Raw genomic sequence first — 19285 nt, forward strand, 5'->3', positions numbered from 1 at the left:
TCCTGTTTAAAAATAACAATGCATGTCATACTAATTATTTATCTGAACAACAGAGGGTTTCAAATAAACAAGCAATAAAAGCAACATGTTAGGGGATAATGCGAAGAGTAACAGCAATTTCATTTTTAACCAATTCTGCTGATGCTATAATTATTATTAGTTTTTGGAAATACTCCTTCATCAAAGAACGCCTACTGTGGCATTCTGGCAGAGCCCATGTAGAGTTGACGATAAGCATTGTAAAAAGTCCCTATGCTTGTTTTTCTCTGGGAAATCAAAAACACCAACAGCTACCAATATGGATTATGAATAAAAACAAACAATAGCTCAGAGTAATTGTGTATGACCACTGTATTTTCTTTCATAGGCTCATTAATTCATCAGGAAACATGTATTGACAACTCTTTACATACCAGGTACAGTGCTCTAACTTAAAACTTTTCATGTTAGACCTTGGGTTATGACTTTACAGGCAACTAGGTACTTTTTTCTGAAAAGAATAACTATTTTTCTGGCATCTTCAACATGTGCCATTTATTGCTGTTTTTCCTGATGGTAACTTCACATAATGTTGCCTTATGTTGTACTTATCAATATTCTTAAAACATTTATTGACTCCATCTTGCTTATTACCAACTCATAAGCTTTCTGCATATTTTGCCATCATATTTTATTTCTGTATTGTCCAGAGCTTTACACTTGAGATGCAGTCATCACAGTTTGGAAGCTTGTGAACATGTTGCACTCCACAATTTACAACTTCATGGAGAAACTCATTTTTCCACAGTGTTCTTATTTTGAAAATCTTCAAACCAATTGCAAAGTTGAAAAAATAGTATGATATAAGTACGCAGCTAGTCTCCAGCTAGGCCTACTAATTGTTAACATTGTGCCATTTTAAGTCTATTTATACATAGATACATTTTAGCTAAACCATTTTTTAATAAGTTGCATAAACCATGACTTTACTTTTGCATGAAGCTTTGAAAAATTACAACAAAAAAAGAGTAGGACATTTTCTACATAATCACAATAACTCCATAATTATAAGTCTTGAAAATTAAAAATTGATCAAACAGATTTATCTAATTTACAGTCCATTATAAAATGACCTCAGTTGTCCCGGTAATGTCCTTCACAGCTGTTTCATTGTTTTGGTGTTGAGCCAAAATTCAATTAAGGATCACATGCTATAAGTTAACTGTCATAACTCTTTACTCTCTTTTAATCTAAAATAGTGCCCTGCTTTAAAAAAGATTGTCTTAATGTATTAAAACTTAAAGAATCCAAGGCAGCTGCTTTTGTGATATAATTCATACTTCTCTAATAATGCTACATAGCTGGTGTTGGACCCTGGTCAATGTGTTTCACTAGAAGTCATGTATCATAAGTCTGATCTATGATTGGTAATGTTTGTTTGCTTGTTTTTTTTCTGTTGGAAAGGCATTTTATGCCCTTTGTAATTATTTTTAAACCCTATTTTAAGTAAATTTGATATAAATCTCTTTTTCTTTTTGACAATTTACTAATGGTTTGCAGAAGACATTGATGACTCTTCACTGTCTTGAAAATATAAACATCTTCATACATCTATTACTCTTTTTGCGCTGGGTAGATCAGTTACAATAATCTTCTTATTCCCCCATGATTCTGTGTAGAATAACTTGAATTCTTGGGCATGCAATTGTGAAATCATTTTTAACTTTTGACCAAATGTAATATCTATTAAATTTTCTACAATGATTCCATCAATCTGTTAAAATAAAGCTGGAATTAATTATTGAAAATCAGAAATATTGAACAGAAATGAAGTCTAACTCTACCTGTCGCATGATACAAAATGTTAGCATAGTTTCTAATATATTCTTTCCTGGGAACCAAATCTTAGTAACTAGCAAATCCAGGATGACTGTTTCTCCAATATCTTTAATAGATGTAGTAAAACGGTAACACAATTATATACTGTTTTCCTAAGTAATGCTCTTGAACTATAATGTTGTATTTCCTAAGTTGTTGAACTCAAATATCTTTTCAAGAAGAGGACATAATTATTTAGCAGTTTCTTTCTTTCTTTCTTTCTTTCTTTCTTTCTTTCTTTCTTTCTTTCTTTCTTTCTTTCTTTCTCTCTTTCTTTCTTTCTTTCTTTCTTTCTTTCTTTCCTTCCTTCCTTCCTTCCTTCCTTCTTTTCTTTCTTTCTTCTCTCTCTCTGTCTCTCTCTTTCTCTCTAGAAATACAAGGAACTTCAGCTTTTTTTCCCTAGATTTTTTGTTTGTCTTACTTTTTTTCAAGGCAAGAAACTCATGGAGTGGTTATACACTCTTTTCCTAGGTCTATGCTCAAAACTAGATGAAGGACAGGCACCGTGGCTCACACCTGTAATCTCAGAAGTTTGGGAGGCTGTGGTGGGTGGATCACCTGAGGTCAGGAGTTCTAGACCAGCCTAGCCAACATGGCGAAACCCCATCTCTACTAAAAATACAAAAATTAGCTGCACGTAGTGGTGCACGCCTGTGATCCCAGCTACTCAGGAGGCTGAGGCAGGAGAATCACTTGAACCCAGGAGGCAGAGGTTGCAATGAGCTGAGATCACGCCACTGCACTCCAGCTTGGGCAACAGAGCGAGACTCTGTCTCAAAAACAAAAAAGCTAGATGAGTGTACCAACATGGTCAGAAGCTCTTTCATGGTTTATTACTTTGGCCAAAGCAATTACATTTTAGAAATAAAATACAATATTACAAATAAAATAACACAAATACAATGCAATATTTTTTGTGAGCATTCTGTACTTTGCCTATACCCTCACCAGTACTAGGATAAATGTATTGAGAAGATTGCCAAAAATCCTTGTCCCTGAGGGGAGATTCTCTTTCTGTCAATGAAGATGATGAACTATTTTCATTTTCTAATTTGAGAAGACAGCCAAATGCCCTGCTGGGTTTAATCTTCTCTATTCCAGAGTATTATTTGGATTCTACAGGCTACATCAACAATTTATGTGCCTTCATTTGATTAGCAGATTATGAGGGTGGAATGTATAAATGCACTTCTTCAGCATTAAGATTGGGAGCACATTTTCTTTAAATAAGAATTGTACAAAATGATGACTGTAATAAATAATAATCATTGTATATTTCAAAATTGCCAAAAGAGTAGATTTTAAATGTTTTTATCATTTAAAAATGATAATTATATGAGGTGAATTTGTTAATTAGTTTGATTCAATCATTCCACAATGTAAACATGTATTGAAACATCACATTGTGCCACACAAACCTATGCAATTACTATTTTTATTAAAAATAGTGTGTTTTTCTTTAAAAAAGAAGAGCGACACCACCTAGATTTAACAGTGCTCTACAGTGTAACAATTTTTTAAGAGATAGGGAATATCAATGAGAAATAGCACAATTCATCTAAATCAATGTGAGAGCCATCCTTTAATTTGATACCTCATCATTTTACATTTGTTGTTTTTAAATTAATAATTTCCCAAAGCGTTCATTTTGATCAAGCCTGTCATACTCTTCGAGTAATCAAGGTACAGTTAGCGTTCAATTTCTATGCCAATTCACTATCTTGAAACAGAGTGACGAGTAAGACATAGTTCAAACATACTCGGGTGATATCCAGAGTTGACAGAAGCAGAAACCTTATTTCCATTTTGTGTCTCTTGCATATCAATAATTTATAAATTATTGACCAAATGGCCTGCATGTCTTGGTTAAGACCTTTAATGAATGAAACAAAAAAGGAACTAGGGTTTAATTAAAGAAAGGCAAATTTGCTTGGGATTCATCCTCTATCTCCAATATTAGTGTAAATAACAATAATAATAAAAAAAAAACAGCTTCACGTGCCTTGTCTTGCAGGGCATGAAAGGTTCAAATAGAAAAGCAGCATGGTGATGGGGCTGACTGTTCCAGAATTGATGTGCCCGTGCTCCGTGAGGAACGCAGCTCATCTGTACCAGCAAATGTGTTGGCTCCTGCCTGCAATTGTATCATTCAGGTGTGCATTGTAAAAACAATTCACGGATAAGCACAGGTAAGCGTTATTACTCATGTCCTATCCTGGTAAAACCATGTAGTGTAGACATGCTGTGAAAGTGCTCACTTTTGTCCAAGTGTTTTTCTTTGGAAATTTTTTAACTGGTCCCTGTTCTGTGTTAGATTCTCGACTTCTTTCAGCAGCACTTTGAAATGACATGTAAGAAGGGGTATTATAGTGTTCAGTGTAAATAAGAAATTCCTTTTTAGTTAAAGTTTTAGGATTCTCTATCTTATTACCTCTCTCAACTAAAAAGTAATACCTCGAGTTCCTGATTGTGCTGTTGGTTGACTTTCTAATGTATTCTTTCCTTCTTTTTATATTTTCTTTCTTTCTAAACATAGTACAATGTCTCTAGCTAAAAAAGAAATGGGTAAGTCACAAATCTGAAATATATTCCTCAGTCATGAACTTCACAGGTAACCAGTGTTCATTACAGAGGCTGAAGTTTTTAAATTTTAAGAACACTTTAAATCAATGCTTTTTGAGTAGCACTGAGTAATTTGTGCTAGTTTTCCTCAGTCGTTTAATGACCCGTAAGTGAACTATTGCACAAAATAATGCAGTGTTCACTTATAATTTTCAAATAATTTTTTGCATGAATGTACTTTTAATTTAAACAGTATTATATAAATTAACATTCTGGAGTCTGAAACATTGTTCATTCCCTCTGTAATATCCCGGTTACAGACATTGAAATAATTTCACCTTTCTTAGATCAGCCTACTATAGCAATAACAGTGTCATTTGGTTTCTCTTTAAGGAAGCATACTGATAAATTTACAATATAGTTTGCAACTATGGCCCAACTACTAAGGATATTCTACTCCATGAAGCTTGTTAAGTTATTCAACGTAAGGCCAAGGGCATATTTTTAAAGAAAATAAAATGAATGCTCTTAATTTATCAATTGTTCTGTCATTAGGGGTCTAAACTGTTGTATACTTTTTCTTGGATCATTAGGCAACCTTGTAATAAGGAGAAAAAAATGTAAATGTCTGGAACAATTTGTTCATAGCTATAAGCCTACAACCACGGTGTTAAAAGCTCCCTAGTGGCAACGTAGTTTCAGAATTCCCATGTGATACATAGCATTGCAAACGAGGTACTATGAAAATTTCTACAGATGGCTGCTTAATGTGTAAATTAATCTGACTCAGTAAGGATCTTGCCAGTCACTGGCAGCTATAATTATAGATCAAAATAAGATCTTGCTCTACAAATTTGTTCAACCAGAGAACTGTAGCATATACACAAGTTTATTTAAATACTTTAATTATTTACTGCCAGGATTTGTGACACACGTGTGCTTCAACTTGCAAACACTAATAGGAATGATATAGCACCATGTTAGTAGCATAAAACAAACAAGGTAATTAAAAATATAGAGGAAAAACAACACAAAATAACAAAACCAAATATCCTTCTCTAGGCACAATAGATTTTCAAAGCAAATTGATCAAATAATAGACATCAGTCAGAATGGGCATTTGGAAGGATCCAATTAAGTATGAAGCTGATACCTCTTTACAATCTTATAATCTTAAAATTAAAATTAAAATCTAAATTACCCCAATTAAGCCCTCATTAACTAGCTTAATTCAGAGGTCTACTTAAATTTCAAGGTAACAGCTGAAAGTTTATTTAAGACAAGCGTGTTTACACTTAATGAGATTCCTATGAATTTTTGGCTTTTTTGGAGAGTTTAGGAAAGCGCCAACCTTGAAAGTCACATCTGTTCTGTTCCTAGAACTAGAAAACAATCCCCTTCCTTCTATTAACTATGAGAAACAGAATTCTCTAGGAAAAATACACTGCAATTGACAAAGGATCCCCTTTTTCCCCCAAGGTAATCTTTAATATTGTCCTTACTCAATTGAAGTAAATCCTAATTTAAATAAACTAATCTGAAACTCCATTCAAAGAAAGGAAGAAGTGGTACCATAAGAGGAGATCTGCTATTACAATTTCAAAGCACTCCTTATTTTCTTTGAGGGTAATACTTAAAGATAACATTAACCAAGCTCTCTGCCTAATATTGAGGAATGTGGCCTTCTCCTTTTCCATAGTGCCAGTCTGTCAATGGAGAGATGATTAAACTATATACATCTTTCTTCACCTTCATTAAGAAACTGTGTAGCATAATGTAGGGAACATAAGGCTGGAAGTCAAGACCTTGGTTTCTGCAAGAATAACTGATTGTCAGCAAAGCACTTAACCTCTATGAACCTCAGTTACTTCATCTATAAAATGAGAAGCTTGGGCCAGGAGACATCTAAGGTGTCTCTTTCAGTTCAGTATTTAATCATCCTATAAAACAGTGTGTATAGAAATGAAGAGAACTGACTGGTTCTCTAGCTAATCTTGACTCTTTAAACAAAGCTTCTCAGTGATATGGATGTTTCAAGGAAAAGAAGTTTGCCTTAATTTTTCACTTCACACAAAAAGCCCTACTTCTAGAAAGAAGAGGTATGTACCTCCATGATATATTCTAAGTTACTGGAAAATCCCTGTAACTCACTAAAGGCTCTGAAGTTGTCAGCTTTAGACACTTCTTCATGTTAGATGGCAGCATTTTTCAGTAGGCTTTGAACTTGATTTGCTGTTACTGGGTTTGTCAAACTGGGAGCATGAATGTTAACGATCTGATCAAGTTAAGGTTATTCACACTTAGTGCAAATGTGTTTTTTAAATCGTGTCTCAGGTCCCCATTCTGCAGTCAGTACAGAAGCATTTGGATGGAAAAGGGACTGAGCATTACCATTTTAGAAAAGATTCTTGAAAGACACTGCATTAAGGATAACTAAGTATTAGCAAACACCAGAAAAGCAAGGGCAGGAACTCTGTGTGTCAAGATATTCAGGGTACTCACAAAATATGATATCCCATTGGGAGGAAATGGGATTTCCTCTTTTCACTAAGAGAAAAACTTAATATTTTGCTGCTAATCTTATCATGAGCTCCTAGTAGGGTTTGACTGTTCTACATTCCTTAGTCCTTTAATTAAAGCAAGACTGGAAAAGTGAAGTGCAACAAACATGAATGGTTTAGTAGCCAGAGCTTTTTCTTTTTTCTTTTTTTCTTAGAAAAACAATAAAGCAAAAGAAAAAAAATTATTTGATGATTGCTACCTAACATTTGTGTTTGGTGTTAGGAGGAAAATAGAGATTAGTGGAGAAAATAGCAAATCCCAGGTCTAAAAGGGGGCTGTGCATGTCCTCAGTTTCAACCAATGTTCCCGTATGATGGGGACTCATTATTGCCATTGATTGCCATGTCTTCTGAGTTCTCACAAGAAGTCTTCAATCTAGACTTTCATAAGCCATCCTCCATTTAAAAAAGAAAAATTGACAGCTATTTTTTTAAAAGTTTAAAATATTATGCAGGTTAAACAAAACACATTGGCAGGCTAGATTGACCCAAATCTACCAGTTTTCAACTTTTGAACTAGAGCTCCATTAAACATATATGTAAGTATCAAACCCTAAAAAGCCAACACTCCTAATTGAATAAAAACAGCAATAACAACAACCAAACTCAATGCCCAAGTCAAAAACCTACCTGGGGACATACAGTAGGCTATCATCACCTGATTTCCTTGATGTTAGCCTGGTACTTAATCCACAGTGCCATGCTTTTACTGGTTAAGAATTTTTTTCCAATAATATGGACATGGAAGTATACCACCTACAGAATCAAAGATTACAGTCATTATTGTGACTAAAATAGCAGTCATATTATTAGAGACACTGACATACACTCAAAAAAATTAGATGTGGGTGTTTGAATATTTTGAAAAAGGATTATGCAGTGTATCTTCTCTATACTCTTTGCAGCTGATAAGTTATTAAATATGTTTGGAGGACAATACGTGGTTTCTTTCTAAAACAAGTAACAGTTTTTAATTTTTTCTTATTTTTTTCTTGTCAGCCATTTGCTGGGAAGTATCCAGTGTGTTCTTTCTTTTACAGATTGCCACAAAAGGCACAACATTGAATTTGAATATTTCATTGTTTTTTAGCTGCTCTAAAGGTAAACCAAGAGAGGAAAGAAAATTCAAGTTAATTAAGGCATAATCCATTAATGGCATAAATACTGCCAACAAAAAAATAATACTCAGTACTCTTAAAACACCTCTAGCCCAATTTTGTTGATTAAGTAGGGGATTCTACTCTTAGTTTTCATATTTTTGCATTTGTTTCATAGGATCTAAACTAATACCATAGGGCAGTGGTACCCAAATGTTTTTTGTCTAATTCCCTATTACTTAAAAATAACACATAGTTAAAATTATATATGTAGTCGTATATACTATATAGACCATGTGTGTGTGTATATGTGTGTGTGTATACATATATATTTGTTTATTTATTAAACAATTATTTATATGGCACCTAGCAAATGTCAGAGACCAGAGACCCAGTGGTAAGCAAGACAGCTACTTCCTATTCTATTCTAAATTTTATAACCTGGTGATTGATATAAACATTAAACAAAAAGCATTAAAAGAATTATTAAAAGTTTAATTGTGAAGAATGTTAATTAAAAAAAGAGTCTCTAATGGGGAGATTAACCATGGCCTGGTGTGGGTAGGGACTGAGAGTTTGGGTCTTGGAGGACAACTAAGAAAGTAGCATTTATGTTACACTTGGAAGAAGGCATGAATGCTGGCCAGACCAAGAATTAGTGGAAGAGCATCCCTAGCAGCTAAAAATCAGAGTTGGCTTTTAAATACTTCTTCCCTAATGGGGCCTCATTCAGCTTTCTTTAAGGCCTGTCAACAATTTCACATTTTATTATGACTTTGGTAAATGATAGTACTATTGGCAAAGGCCTTAGGTCACACAGACTGGGTTCAATTTACTCACTGTGGAAACAAGCAGAGTAAATTATTTACTTCTAATTTTCTTATTTGCAAATAGAAGATATAAAACCTTGTTTCTTCTCTAAACTTTTTTGGAAATTAAGTAAAACATATTAAGCAAATGGCTCAAATTTGATATACGGTAGTTGTTAGTGTGTTATATTTTCTTTCCCCTTCATGATGAAAAACCCTGAAAAAAGATACATCTTAAGAATATTGCAGGTGGATGGAATTATGAAGTTGATTGAAGGGGTTTTATCCCCGTATAAAAGTGTTTGCTTGCAACCCTTTTCTTTGCCTTTTACTTACTCTTCAGGAAACAAATAATCCTGCTTCCAAAAAAACAAAAGCTGCCATTTGTTTAATGTAAGACATTGCACTGATAAACTTTAGTAAGATGTTTAGTTTGGTCTTTACAACCTTGGGTATGAGATATTCTCACTTCCGTTTTACAAAAGGAGAAACTGAGGTTACTAATGTTAAGCAATTTGCCCAAGGTCAAATTCTTACCAAGTAGCCACTTGGGATTTAAACTTAGGTTGCATAACTCTAAAGGCCATGTTCTTAAAACTCTGGGGCATATTTTATGGAATAAATATTTTAATTATGTGTGCACATCATTCGAAATAACTTGGAAAAAAAACCTGTTAAGTATTACATTAGAATTTTATATTAGAAATATAAAAACGTTTATTTTTATGATACAAACATCAGAAAGTACAATTCAAAAAATATTTTCTTATCTCAGTATTAGTGTTTCCTCAAGGGAAGGGTGGGGTGAGCTGAGTTTCAACATTTTTGTTTGATTGTTCTTTTGGATTTAAAACAGAAAGATTTGAGAGCCATTGGCATGGAAAGACATAACAAAATTTAAAGTATTTGATTAAAGTATTTTTCTTCTGATTGTCTCTCAATAGGAAATGATAGAAAATGAGAGAAGAGTTATATACATGAGAATGCTTATTTAAAAAGTGAGCAATTAGAATCGACATCTTTATCCAACAATAGAAAAATAATTGATTAGTACAGAATTAATTCATAAAAATGAATATCAATTAGCCATTTAAAATGATAGTCCCAAAGACACTGGCAAAGTAGACAATATTTTGGTATATGAAGACGTTTGGAGGAAAGCAGGATATAAAACTACCTATTAAGATTTTAACTTGGAATTGAGTCTAGACTCTTTTCCAACCTACAATATCCTGTTGCAGTGATCCCTAAACTTATCACCATGGCTCCCCTTAAATAAAGTCTGCCTTATCATATTTAAAAAAAGAAGAGAAATTATAACTACATAAAAATAGAAATATAATAAACAGACAACAAAATGATAACGGTTGTTCTCTTGGACTTATATATGGGCATTAACACTATTTTTTATTTTCTATTCTTTTTAAAGTGGCCAAAGTGCTTTCAATTTTAAAACATTATTTAAATAAACAGCACACACCAAGTCATAGACATACAGAGCAATTATTTCTAAAATTGTTCAACAGTGGATTATTTCTCCATCAGTTCACCCTTTCTCCTTTTACATACAACTAGACAGTGATTATCATATTTTAATATATTTGTTTTTGTGTCTAGTTCATTTGCCAGCCTCCTGACTAATTAAAAACTGGGATTGTGTCTTATCCATCTTTATATGTTCAGCGCTTAGCACAGCGGCCTACATTTACTAAGATTTCAGTGTACTTTGGTTTAATAAATGGATGAATCACTATATCTTAATACCATTTATTTCTCTAGTGTGGATACAAGGGCTTGGCGATAAAAATTAAGTTTTATTTGTAGCGGGGAATTAAGTTTACTGATTATTTGTAGAGGAAAATTAAGTTTACAAAATAACAGGTTTAAGCAATGACCATCAGTAGTGAAAAACACAAGAAAAGGCAAGGAAAGCAGACCTTATTTGCCTCTTGATGGAAATATACAACATCCTTAATGAAGCATTATTGCCTAAAGTTGAACCTGAAATAGAACACATCTCAAGATTCAACTAGTAGAAATATAAAAGATAGAAGAACATTAAACAACATCATAGAGATTCAATCATCAAAGTCCAGAACATGAGAACTCTAGGGGAGAAATGACCCAGTTTTGTCAACAAATAAATTGCAAAATAAAAAAAAAGAGAGAATGGAAACATATAGATTAAAAGAGGCCTACGAGGCAAATCAATCAAATGCAGACTGCAGCTGGTTTGAATCCTTATTCAAACAAACAAACAAACAAACAAACAAACAAACAAACAATATGAAAAAGGGACTTTTGAACTCTGACTGGTGTTTTGATTGTATTATAAAGTTAATGTTAATTTTAACTGTGATAATTATATTATGGTCATTTTATTGGTGTGTTTGTGTCTTTTCGAGATGCATACAGGCATATTTATGGATTATAATGAAATCTGGGTCTGTGAGAGAAGAAGGAGGGGTATAAATGAAAATGAAACCAGATTACTCATAAGTCCATAATTGCTAAACTCAGATGATGGATATGCGGTGATTTATTATACTACACTATACATTTATATATGTTTGAATTTTTTGTAATTCAAAAAATTCCTTAAAAAATAGGTTCAAAATAATTCAAAGCAAAACAAAACAAAGAAACTGGCTTAGCAAGGAGTCCCTGTTTTATTTATTCAATCAATTGCTTTCTAATAACCTGGCCAGTAAAGCACTTCTTTTGTTTTGTCTGTGATAGATCAATACATTTCCATCTTATGACTATAATTTTTTTAATGTTTATTTTCCTTTCAATAGTTTTCGGGGTATAGGTGGTTTTGGTTATACGGATAAGTTCTTTAGGGGTGATTTTTGAGATTTAATGCACCTGTCACTGGAGCAGTAGTGTACACTGTATTCAATTTTTTTATATATATATATATACACGATATATATTAGTATATATACAATATATATTACTATATATACAATATACATATTACTATATATACCATGTATTACTATATATATCTACTATATATATTACTATATATACAAAATATATATTACTATATATACAATATACATATTACTATATATACCATATATTACTATATATATCTACTATATATATTACTATATATACAAAATATATATTACTATATATACTATATATTACTGTATATACAATATATATTACTATATATATACTATATATTACTATATATACACTATATATTACTATATATACACAATATATATATTACTATATATACACAATGTATATAACTATATATACAATATATATTACTATATATACTATATATATTACTATACATACTATATATTACTCTATATATACAATATATATATTACAATATATACTACATATTACTACATATACTTTATATATTACTATATATACTATATATTACTGTATATACAATATATATTACTAAATATACACAATATATATTACTATATATACACAATATATATATTACTATATATACACATTATATATGACTATATATACACACTATATATATTACTATATATACACAATATATAACTATATATACACAGTATACATATTACTATATATACACAATATATATATTACTATATATACACTATATATTACTATATATACACAATATATATTACTCTATGTATACACTATATATATTACTATATATACAGAATATATATAACTATATATACACTATATTACTATATATACTATATATTACTATATGTACTATATATATTACTATATATACTATATATTACTATATATACACAATATATATTACTATATATACTATATATATTATATATATATATACACACACACACATTTTTATCCCACACCTCCCTTCCAACCTTTCCCCCATGTCCACAAAGTCCATTGTATCATTCTTATGACTTTGCATCCTCATAGCTTAGCTCCCACTTATAAGTAAGAACATATGATATTTAGTATTCCATTCCTGAGTTACCTTACTTAGAATTATGGCCTCCAACTCTATCCAAGTTGTTGCAAAAGGCATTACTGTGTTTCTTTTTATGGATGAGTAGTATTCCATGGTGTGTATATGCCACATTTTCTTTATCTACTCGTTGGCTGATGGGCACTTAGATTGGTTCCATATCTTTGCAATTGCAAATTGTGCTGCTGTAAACATGCATATGCATATGCATATGTCTTTTTCATATAATGACTTACTTTCCTTTGGATAGATACCCAGTAGTGGGATTGCTGGATATGATTTTTTTTCAATGATTTAGTACTCCTAGGATGAATACAGCATATAAAGGCAAATGTAGGCAAATGAATGGATAACTGTTAAAGAACCACTAGTCTTAATTTCACAAATCTCTTTTCTTGGGAGAGAACTAACATTTTGATTTCTTTGGTATTCAATTATTTGTTATTCATCTGACTCTCTTAGGAATTCAAAAGACTGCCCAAAGTCTTCCTGCAGCAAAGCTATGTCTGGGGCCCTATGTAGAGTTAATTAGGTAAGCCAAATAGAACACAGAGATTAGCATAAAGTATAGTTAACCATGTCTACCACAGGGTAATTGTGTTTTCTTACCACTTATGAAGAAATGATTATGTAGTAAATTAATGTTCCAATTTTACTATTATTTATAAAGAGCCACTATGTAAAAGACATTAAAAACTTCTGTAATGGTTGATCGTTACATGTCAACTTGGCTCCACCATGGTCCCCAAATACTGCAGTCAAACATTATTCTGGATGTATTTGTAAGGGTGTTTTTTGATGAGATTGACATTGCAATCTGTGAATTTTGAATAAGGCAGATTTTACCTCCATAGTATGAGTGGACCTCATTCAATCAGTTGAAGACCTAAATAGAACAAAAAATTGAGCTCCACCAAGCATGAGTAAATTCTGTTACAGGAAGCCTTTGATCTTGAATGGTAACATGGGCTTTTTTCCTGGAATTTCAGTCTGCCAGCCTACTCTGCAGATTTTTGGACTTGCCAGGCTCCATAGTCTTGTGAGGCAATTCCATAAAATAACTCTTTTCATACACACACACACACACACACACACTCTCTCTCTCTCTCTCTCTCTCTCTCTCTCTCTCTCTCTAAAGGTTAGGTTTCTCTGGAGAACCCTAATACAGCCTCAGACAAAAGTTTAGATATAATAAAAGTTTCAGTTTAGCACTAAACAGAATACCTATTCACAATAGAATTTAGTAAGAATATTAGTGGTAGTCTGTAGCAGCTACATATAACGGAGGTCCTACCTTCCCTTTAAATAGCCTTACTTCTCAAACTCATCTGAAATGTTGTAGTGTCTTTTGGCTATGTAGTGTATAGATTTTCTCGTTCAATTATTTTTCTGAATTATCCTCTTTTAGAAGCAAATACCAACTTTTTCTCATTATAAATTGTTACATATTTAAATTTTTATTTACTCTTAAAATACGCAATATTAAAGATTGCAGCAGGTAAGACACAAAGATAGCTCACAATTGTATACTTTTTAATCGGTTACAGTTTTGGAGTTGTTCTATGCAATTTATTTAGGGAATATAAAGGCTATTTTAGTCAGTTTGGGCTGCTATCACAAAATGCCATTCACTGAGTGTCTTAAATAACTAATATTTATTTCTCACAGTTCTGGAGCTTGGGGATTCCAAGATCAAGGTGCTGACAGATTGGGTGTCAGTGAGGGTTCTCTTTCTGGTTTGTAAATGGCCTTCTTGTTAAGTCCTCACATGGCTCCTTGGTGTTTTAACAGAGGAAAAGAGAGAGAGAGAGGCAGACAGACATACAGAGAGAGGTAACGAGAGGGAGAGAGAAGGAGAGTTCTCCTGTTTCTTCCTCTTTTTATAAGGGCATTGATACTATCACGAGGACTCCACACTCATACCTAATCTAGTTACCTCCCAAAAGCTTATGTGCTCTTGTTGCCGGGGCTGGAGTGCAATGACGCTATGTTGGCTCACCGCGACCTCCGCCTCCCGGGTTCAAGCGATTCTCCTGCCTCACCCTTCCCAGTAGCTGGGATTAAAGGCATACGCCATCACGCTTGGCTAATATTATTATTTTTTTATTTTTTATTTTATTTTATTATTATTATACTTTAAGTTTTAGGGTACATGTGCACAGTGTGCAGGTTAGTTACATATGTATACATGTGCCATGCTGGTGTGCTGCACCCATTAACTAGTCATTTAGCATTAGGTATACTAATATTGTATTTTAATAGAGACGGGGTTCTCCATGTTGGTGAGGCTGGTCTCAAACTCCCGACCTCAGGTGATCCGCCCACCTCGGCCTCCCAAAGTGCTGGGATTACAGGCATGAGCCAGCGCCTGGCAGAATACTTAATTTTTAAACATTTTATGAGTGCTTCAATGTATAAAATTTGGAGAGACAACAAACATCCAGTCCATAGCAAAGGCAAACAAAAATTATAGACAACCAAGATAGATCAATGACTCAACTTCATCTTTTATGTATACATTCATCATCCTAATTCCTTTTCTCATAAAACAAAAGTATTATATCATTTATTTTCTGATGTTCACACTCACTCTGGATTTTTGTTGCTGTTAATGTGGTCTGACTTCACTGGTATATCCCCATATGGAAGACAGTTCCTCCTATTATTTAAACAAAAGAAAAGAAAACAGAACAAAACAAAGTACAAAGAATGTGAAAAAGTTTTCCTGAGTATAATTGTTTATTAAGATTTGACAAACGAGGATGAAGAGGAGAAAAAAAAATGTTTTTCCATAGGCCAGGGCAAAATTCTATTTATATTTCAAGCAGGACATTACCCTACGATGAATCTACTACCCCTTCAATATCTCACCTCTATCTCATTTTGCCAAATCATCTATGTTGTTTTCTGTCCATCTTTTTTATCTCTTCCCTTTTCTTATAAGAAAAGCACTGTCCTCATGTTGTGCTGCCTGGGCTCTTCTCAGCACCCCGATCTTAGGGTCTTTGAGCTTATTCAATTATTTCTCGCTAAAAATGAGTTGCTGTTACAAGCAGAAATGTGGTGCAAACTGTTAAATGTAAAATCAAATAGAATTAACTAAATTAGAAATAATGTAGTCAATTAAAAATAAATAATTATAATTTAATTAATTAGAACTAATTATGTAGAAATAGATATAATATATTAATAATCATAATAAAGTATAGACAACTTATTTTTTAAGTTAATATAAATGAATTTTTAAAATCCTATTATACGCTCTTTATAAGAGATACAAGTAAAGTATAAATACAAAGAAAAATTTTAGAAAGTTGTATAAAAGTTATATCAGTGCAATATTAAACAAAAAAGATGTTGGTTTATCAGTATCAGATATTTAGAATATAAGGCAAAAAAAAATCCTAAGGAAAAGTAAGGTCACTGAACAATGACTTCAAATATATTGTAGAAAAAAAGAAACAGAGAATTTGATGAATATACCATTGAAGTGCACACAATTAAAAGCATTTTTGTAATTAATAGATCAAGTAGTCAAATTTAATAGAGATAAAGATTTAAACAAAGCAACCAATAAACAAAATCTAGCAGATATACATAGAGAACTCTGCACTGAAGATTTTAATAGTATATGTTTTCTCAGATGTACACATAAAACATTGATTAAAATTTACTAAATTCCCAGTCTCAAATTATTGGTATTAGACCATGAGTTATCATGTCCTATGGGTCTGGGAAGACCCTATAGTGTCAGAAATGAGAAAGATGTTTTAAATAATGCACTTGGAAATAGAATAAATGGGTAAATGAAGCTTACTACCTTCAATCAGTATTTTACTTACTGATATATTTTCACTTCATCCCTTTATGCTGCCCTTTGCGCGTGGTGGTATGAATATTCGACTTTAGTCCTCTAAGGTTTAGATCACTATACTAGTATCAGGTAATTATACATAGTTTCATTAGAAAGTACTCAGGGTAAAATGTTTCATTTTGATGCAAAAATTCATTTTGTTTAGTCGCTCCGTTAGTACTTGGGATTGATCAGAAGGAAAACATATAGCATGGGTTGGTTGAGGCTAATAAGTTTACCTCTGTTTTATGTTTCGATCTTTCACTCTACTACAGGTTACTACCTCTATTTCCTAAATTTAAACTGCGCAAAAGATATTTATCTTCCCCCCACAAACTTGTTCATCCTCTTCTTTTTGGTCCCCCTCTGTCAGTGAGTGGAATTGCATATACCCAGAAAAATGCATTCTGAGTCAGAAACTGCAGACAGACTCTATCCTCCCTTTCAATCTTCACCACCAATCTTTACTGTTTGGACTTAATCTCTCATCATTTCTCATCTTGGTTTTGCATCAGCAGGCTAACAATTGTTCTTGCTTCTAGTATTGTTCTCTTCTAATCCTTTATGGTACAACCAAAAGAGTCTTTCAGAAACACAAATCAAATTATAGCACGTTCTTATTTTATTGATTCCCATTGCCTATGAGATATATTCTAAACTTATTTGTGCAGCATATAAGGTCTTTCAAGAGCTTGCCCTTTCTCAGTTTTCTATCCTCAAATCTTCCCTTTTCTCTCATACTCATCAAGTCACCCTATCAAACTATGCCTTTCTTTGTAACTTCCACGATGCAAAATGCCTTCTCTTGACTCCTTCTTGCTCAGAGAGCTCCCTATGCTTAGAAAATTTTTATTCTTTTTTTTTCCCATTCAACTTCACTAATTTCTACATCATGACTCAGCTCAACATCATCTCCATGAAGGAATGTGTTTGCAATTACTACTAGTTCATGTGCTTTGCCATGTGACTATAATTCCATTGTAATTATCATCCCTGCATAGACTATTTTCCCAGGCATATGACAACATTTAGATTGCAAGCTGTTTGAGAATAAAGAAAGAATTAGTCATTTGTGTATCCTTGGTGCCTATTATTGCTCAACATATATGACTCACACGTCTCATAGGAAATGTGTAGCTGAAGTAGAACCAAAAGGCATGAAGGGAGTATGGGAGTATGGGAAGGAATGCAGCAAGGAGGGAGGTAGTCCCTCTTTCTGTATTAGCTAAATGAAGTAATTTGGATATATTATACACCTAATAAAATTAGCCTGTTTATTTCTTTCATCTGAAAGTCTTATCTGTGCACCCCCAAATTTCCCAAAATGCTGCAATAAATGCTTTGGAAATGAACTTACTCCTCCAGTATACACAGCATCCCTCTTTAGTAGTTATACATGCTTAAAATATTTATTTTGGCTGGACACAATGGCTCATTCCTCTAATCCTAACACTTTGGGAGGCCAAGGTGGTGAAAGGATTGCTTGGGTTCAGGAGTTTGAGGTCAGCCAGGGCAACACAGTGAGACCCCATCTTTACAAAAAATAAAAAATTAGCTGGGTGTGGTGGTTCAGGTCTGTAGTTCCAGCTACTTGGTAGACTGAGGTGGCAGGATTGCTTGAGCCCTGGGAGGTGGAGGCTGCACTCAGCTGTGACTGCACTACTGCACTCCAGCCTGGAAAATAGAGCGAGACTCTGTCTCAATGACAGCAACAACAACAACAACAACAACAACAAAAGAAACATTTTTTAAAACTAATCTAAGAATAATAATTAATGGCATTAATGGTATTCCTATTTCAAAGGCAAAGATCTAAGTTACACAGAAACTTTCCTTCGGTAGTAAAAATTAATTATATTTTTCATACATTTTTCTCCTTTCCTACCATTGCTAATTCTGTTTCCTCCTGAAACAGAATTCTGTTTTAGAATTTATGCACTTCATTTTTAAAAACATTTATTTATTGTCTTCTCTTCATATTTTGACAGGTATATTTAACGTCATACATCTAAATTTAAAATATCTCTATTCTAAGTGGTCTTAGGATTCTGACCACCCTCTTTGCCTTAGGTATTATTATTGTCAAGTATTTCAGTTTTAATGTTCTTTTCCTCTTACGTCTCAAACCACGAGTTCTTATTTTTGTACAGAGTAAATTTTATTTTACATTTACCAAACTTCATATCAACTCTTACTGACATTTCTTCTTGCATTTTAAATTTTCCAGCTGGGACCATAGTCTCTCTTCTGAGGTATATTATTTAGATATTTCCTAATTGAGGATCTGTTATGGTAAACATTTAGTTTGTTCAGCTCTGAAAATGATTGATTTTTTTCCTATATTTCAGTATAGTAAAGTAACTGCCTAAGGGGTTCTTCCTGACTTGTAATAAGGAGAGTTTAGTAGATACGAGGCCTGCAACACCACATGGGAGATGGAGTTTACTCAAATCATCTCCTCTGAAGCTCATAGGTTAGGGGTTTTTCAAAGGCAGCTTTGGGGGAAGAGGCGGGGGTGACTAGGTAACAGGCGCTTGCCGCTGATTGGTTGGGGTGGAGATGACATCATAAAC

The 19285-nt window shown here is 33.0% G+C and overlaps 2 long non-coding RNA genes across 3 annotated transcripts in view; one reads left to right on the forward strand and one right to left on the reverse strand.

Annotated features, from left to right (window-relative positions):
* The window catches only part of LOC105378810 (uncharacterized), a 136420-nt gene that overhangs the window by 37847 nt on the left and 79288 nt on the right, over positions 1 to 19285 (forward strand). The window contains exon 2 of the long non-coding RNA XR_001738113.2: positions 3872 to 4046. This is a non-coding gene — a long non-coding RNA (uncharacterized LOC105378810). The remainder of the gene's footprint in view (positions 1 to 3871; positions 4047 to 19285) is intronic.
* Positions 3910 to 19227, reverse strand: LOC105378811 (uncharacterized). 2 transcript variants are annotated; one of them, XR_947529.3, is made up of 6 exons: positions 18912 to 19227; positions 18070 to 18386; positions 15731 to 15929; positions 15450 to 15518; positions 7611 to 7736; positions 3910 to 3991 (listed from the first exon to the last, which is right to left on the reverse strand). It is a non-coding gene; the product is annotated as an uncharacterized LOC105378811 (long non-coding RNA). The 2 variants fall into 2 exon arrangements; XR_947528.2 differs by lacking the exons at positions 18070 to 18386; positions 18912 to 19227 and adding an exon at positions 16702 to 16895.

Source organism: Homo sapiens, chromosome 1 (assembly GCF_000001405.40).
Source record: "Homo sapiens chromosome 1, GRCh38.p14 Primary Assembly".
Lineage (NCBI taxonomy): Eukaryota > Metazoa > Chordata > Mammalia > Primates > Hominidae > Homo > Homo sapiens.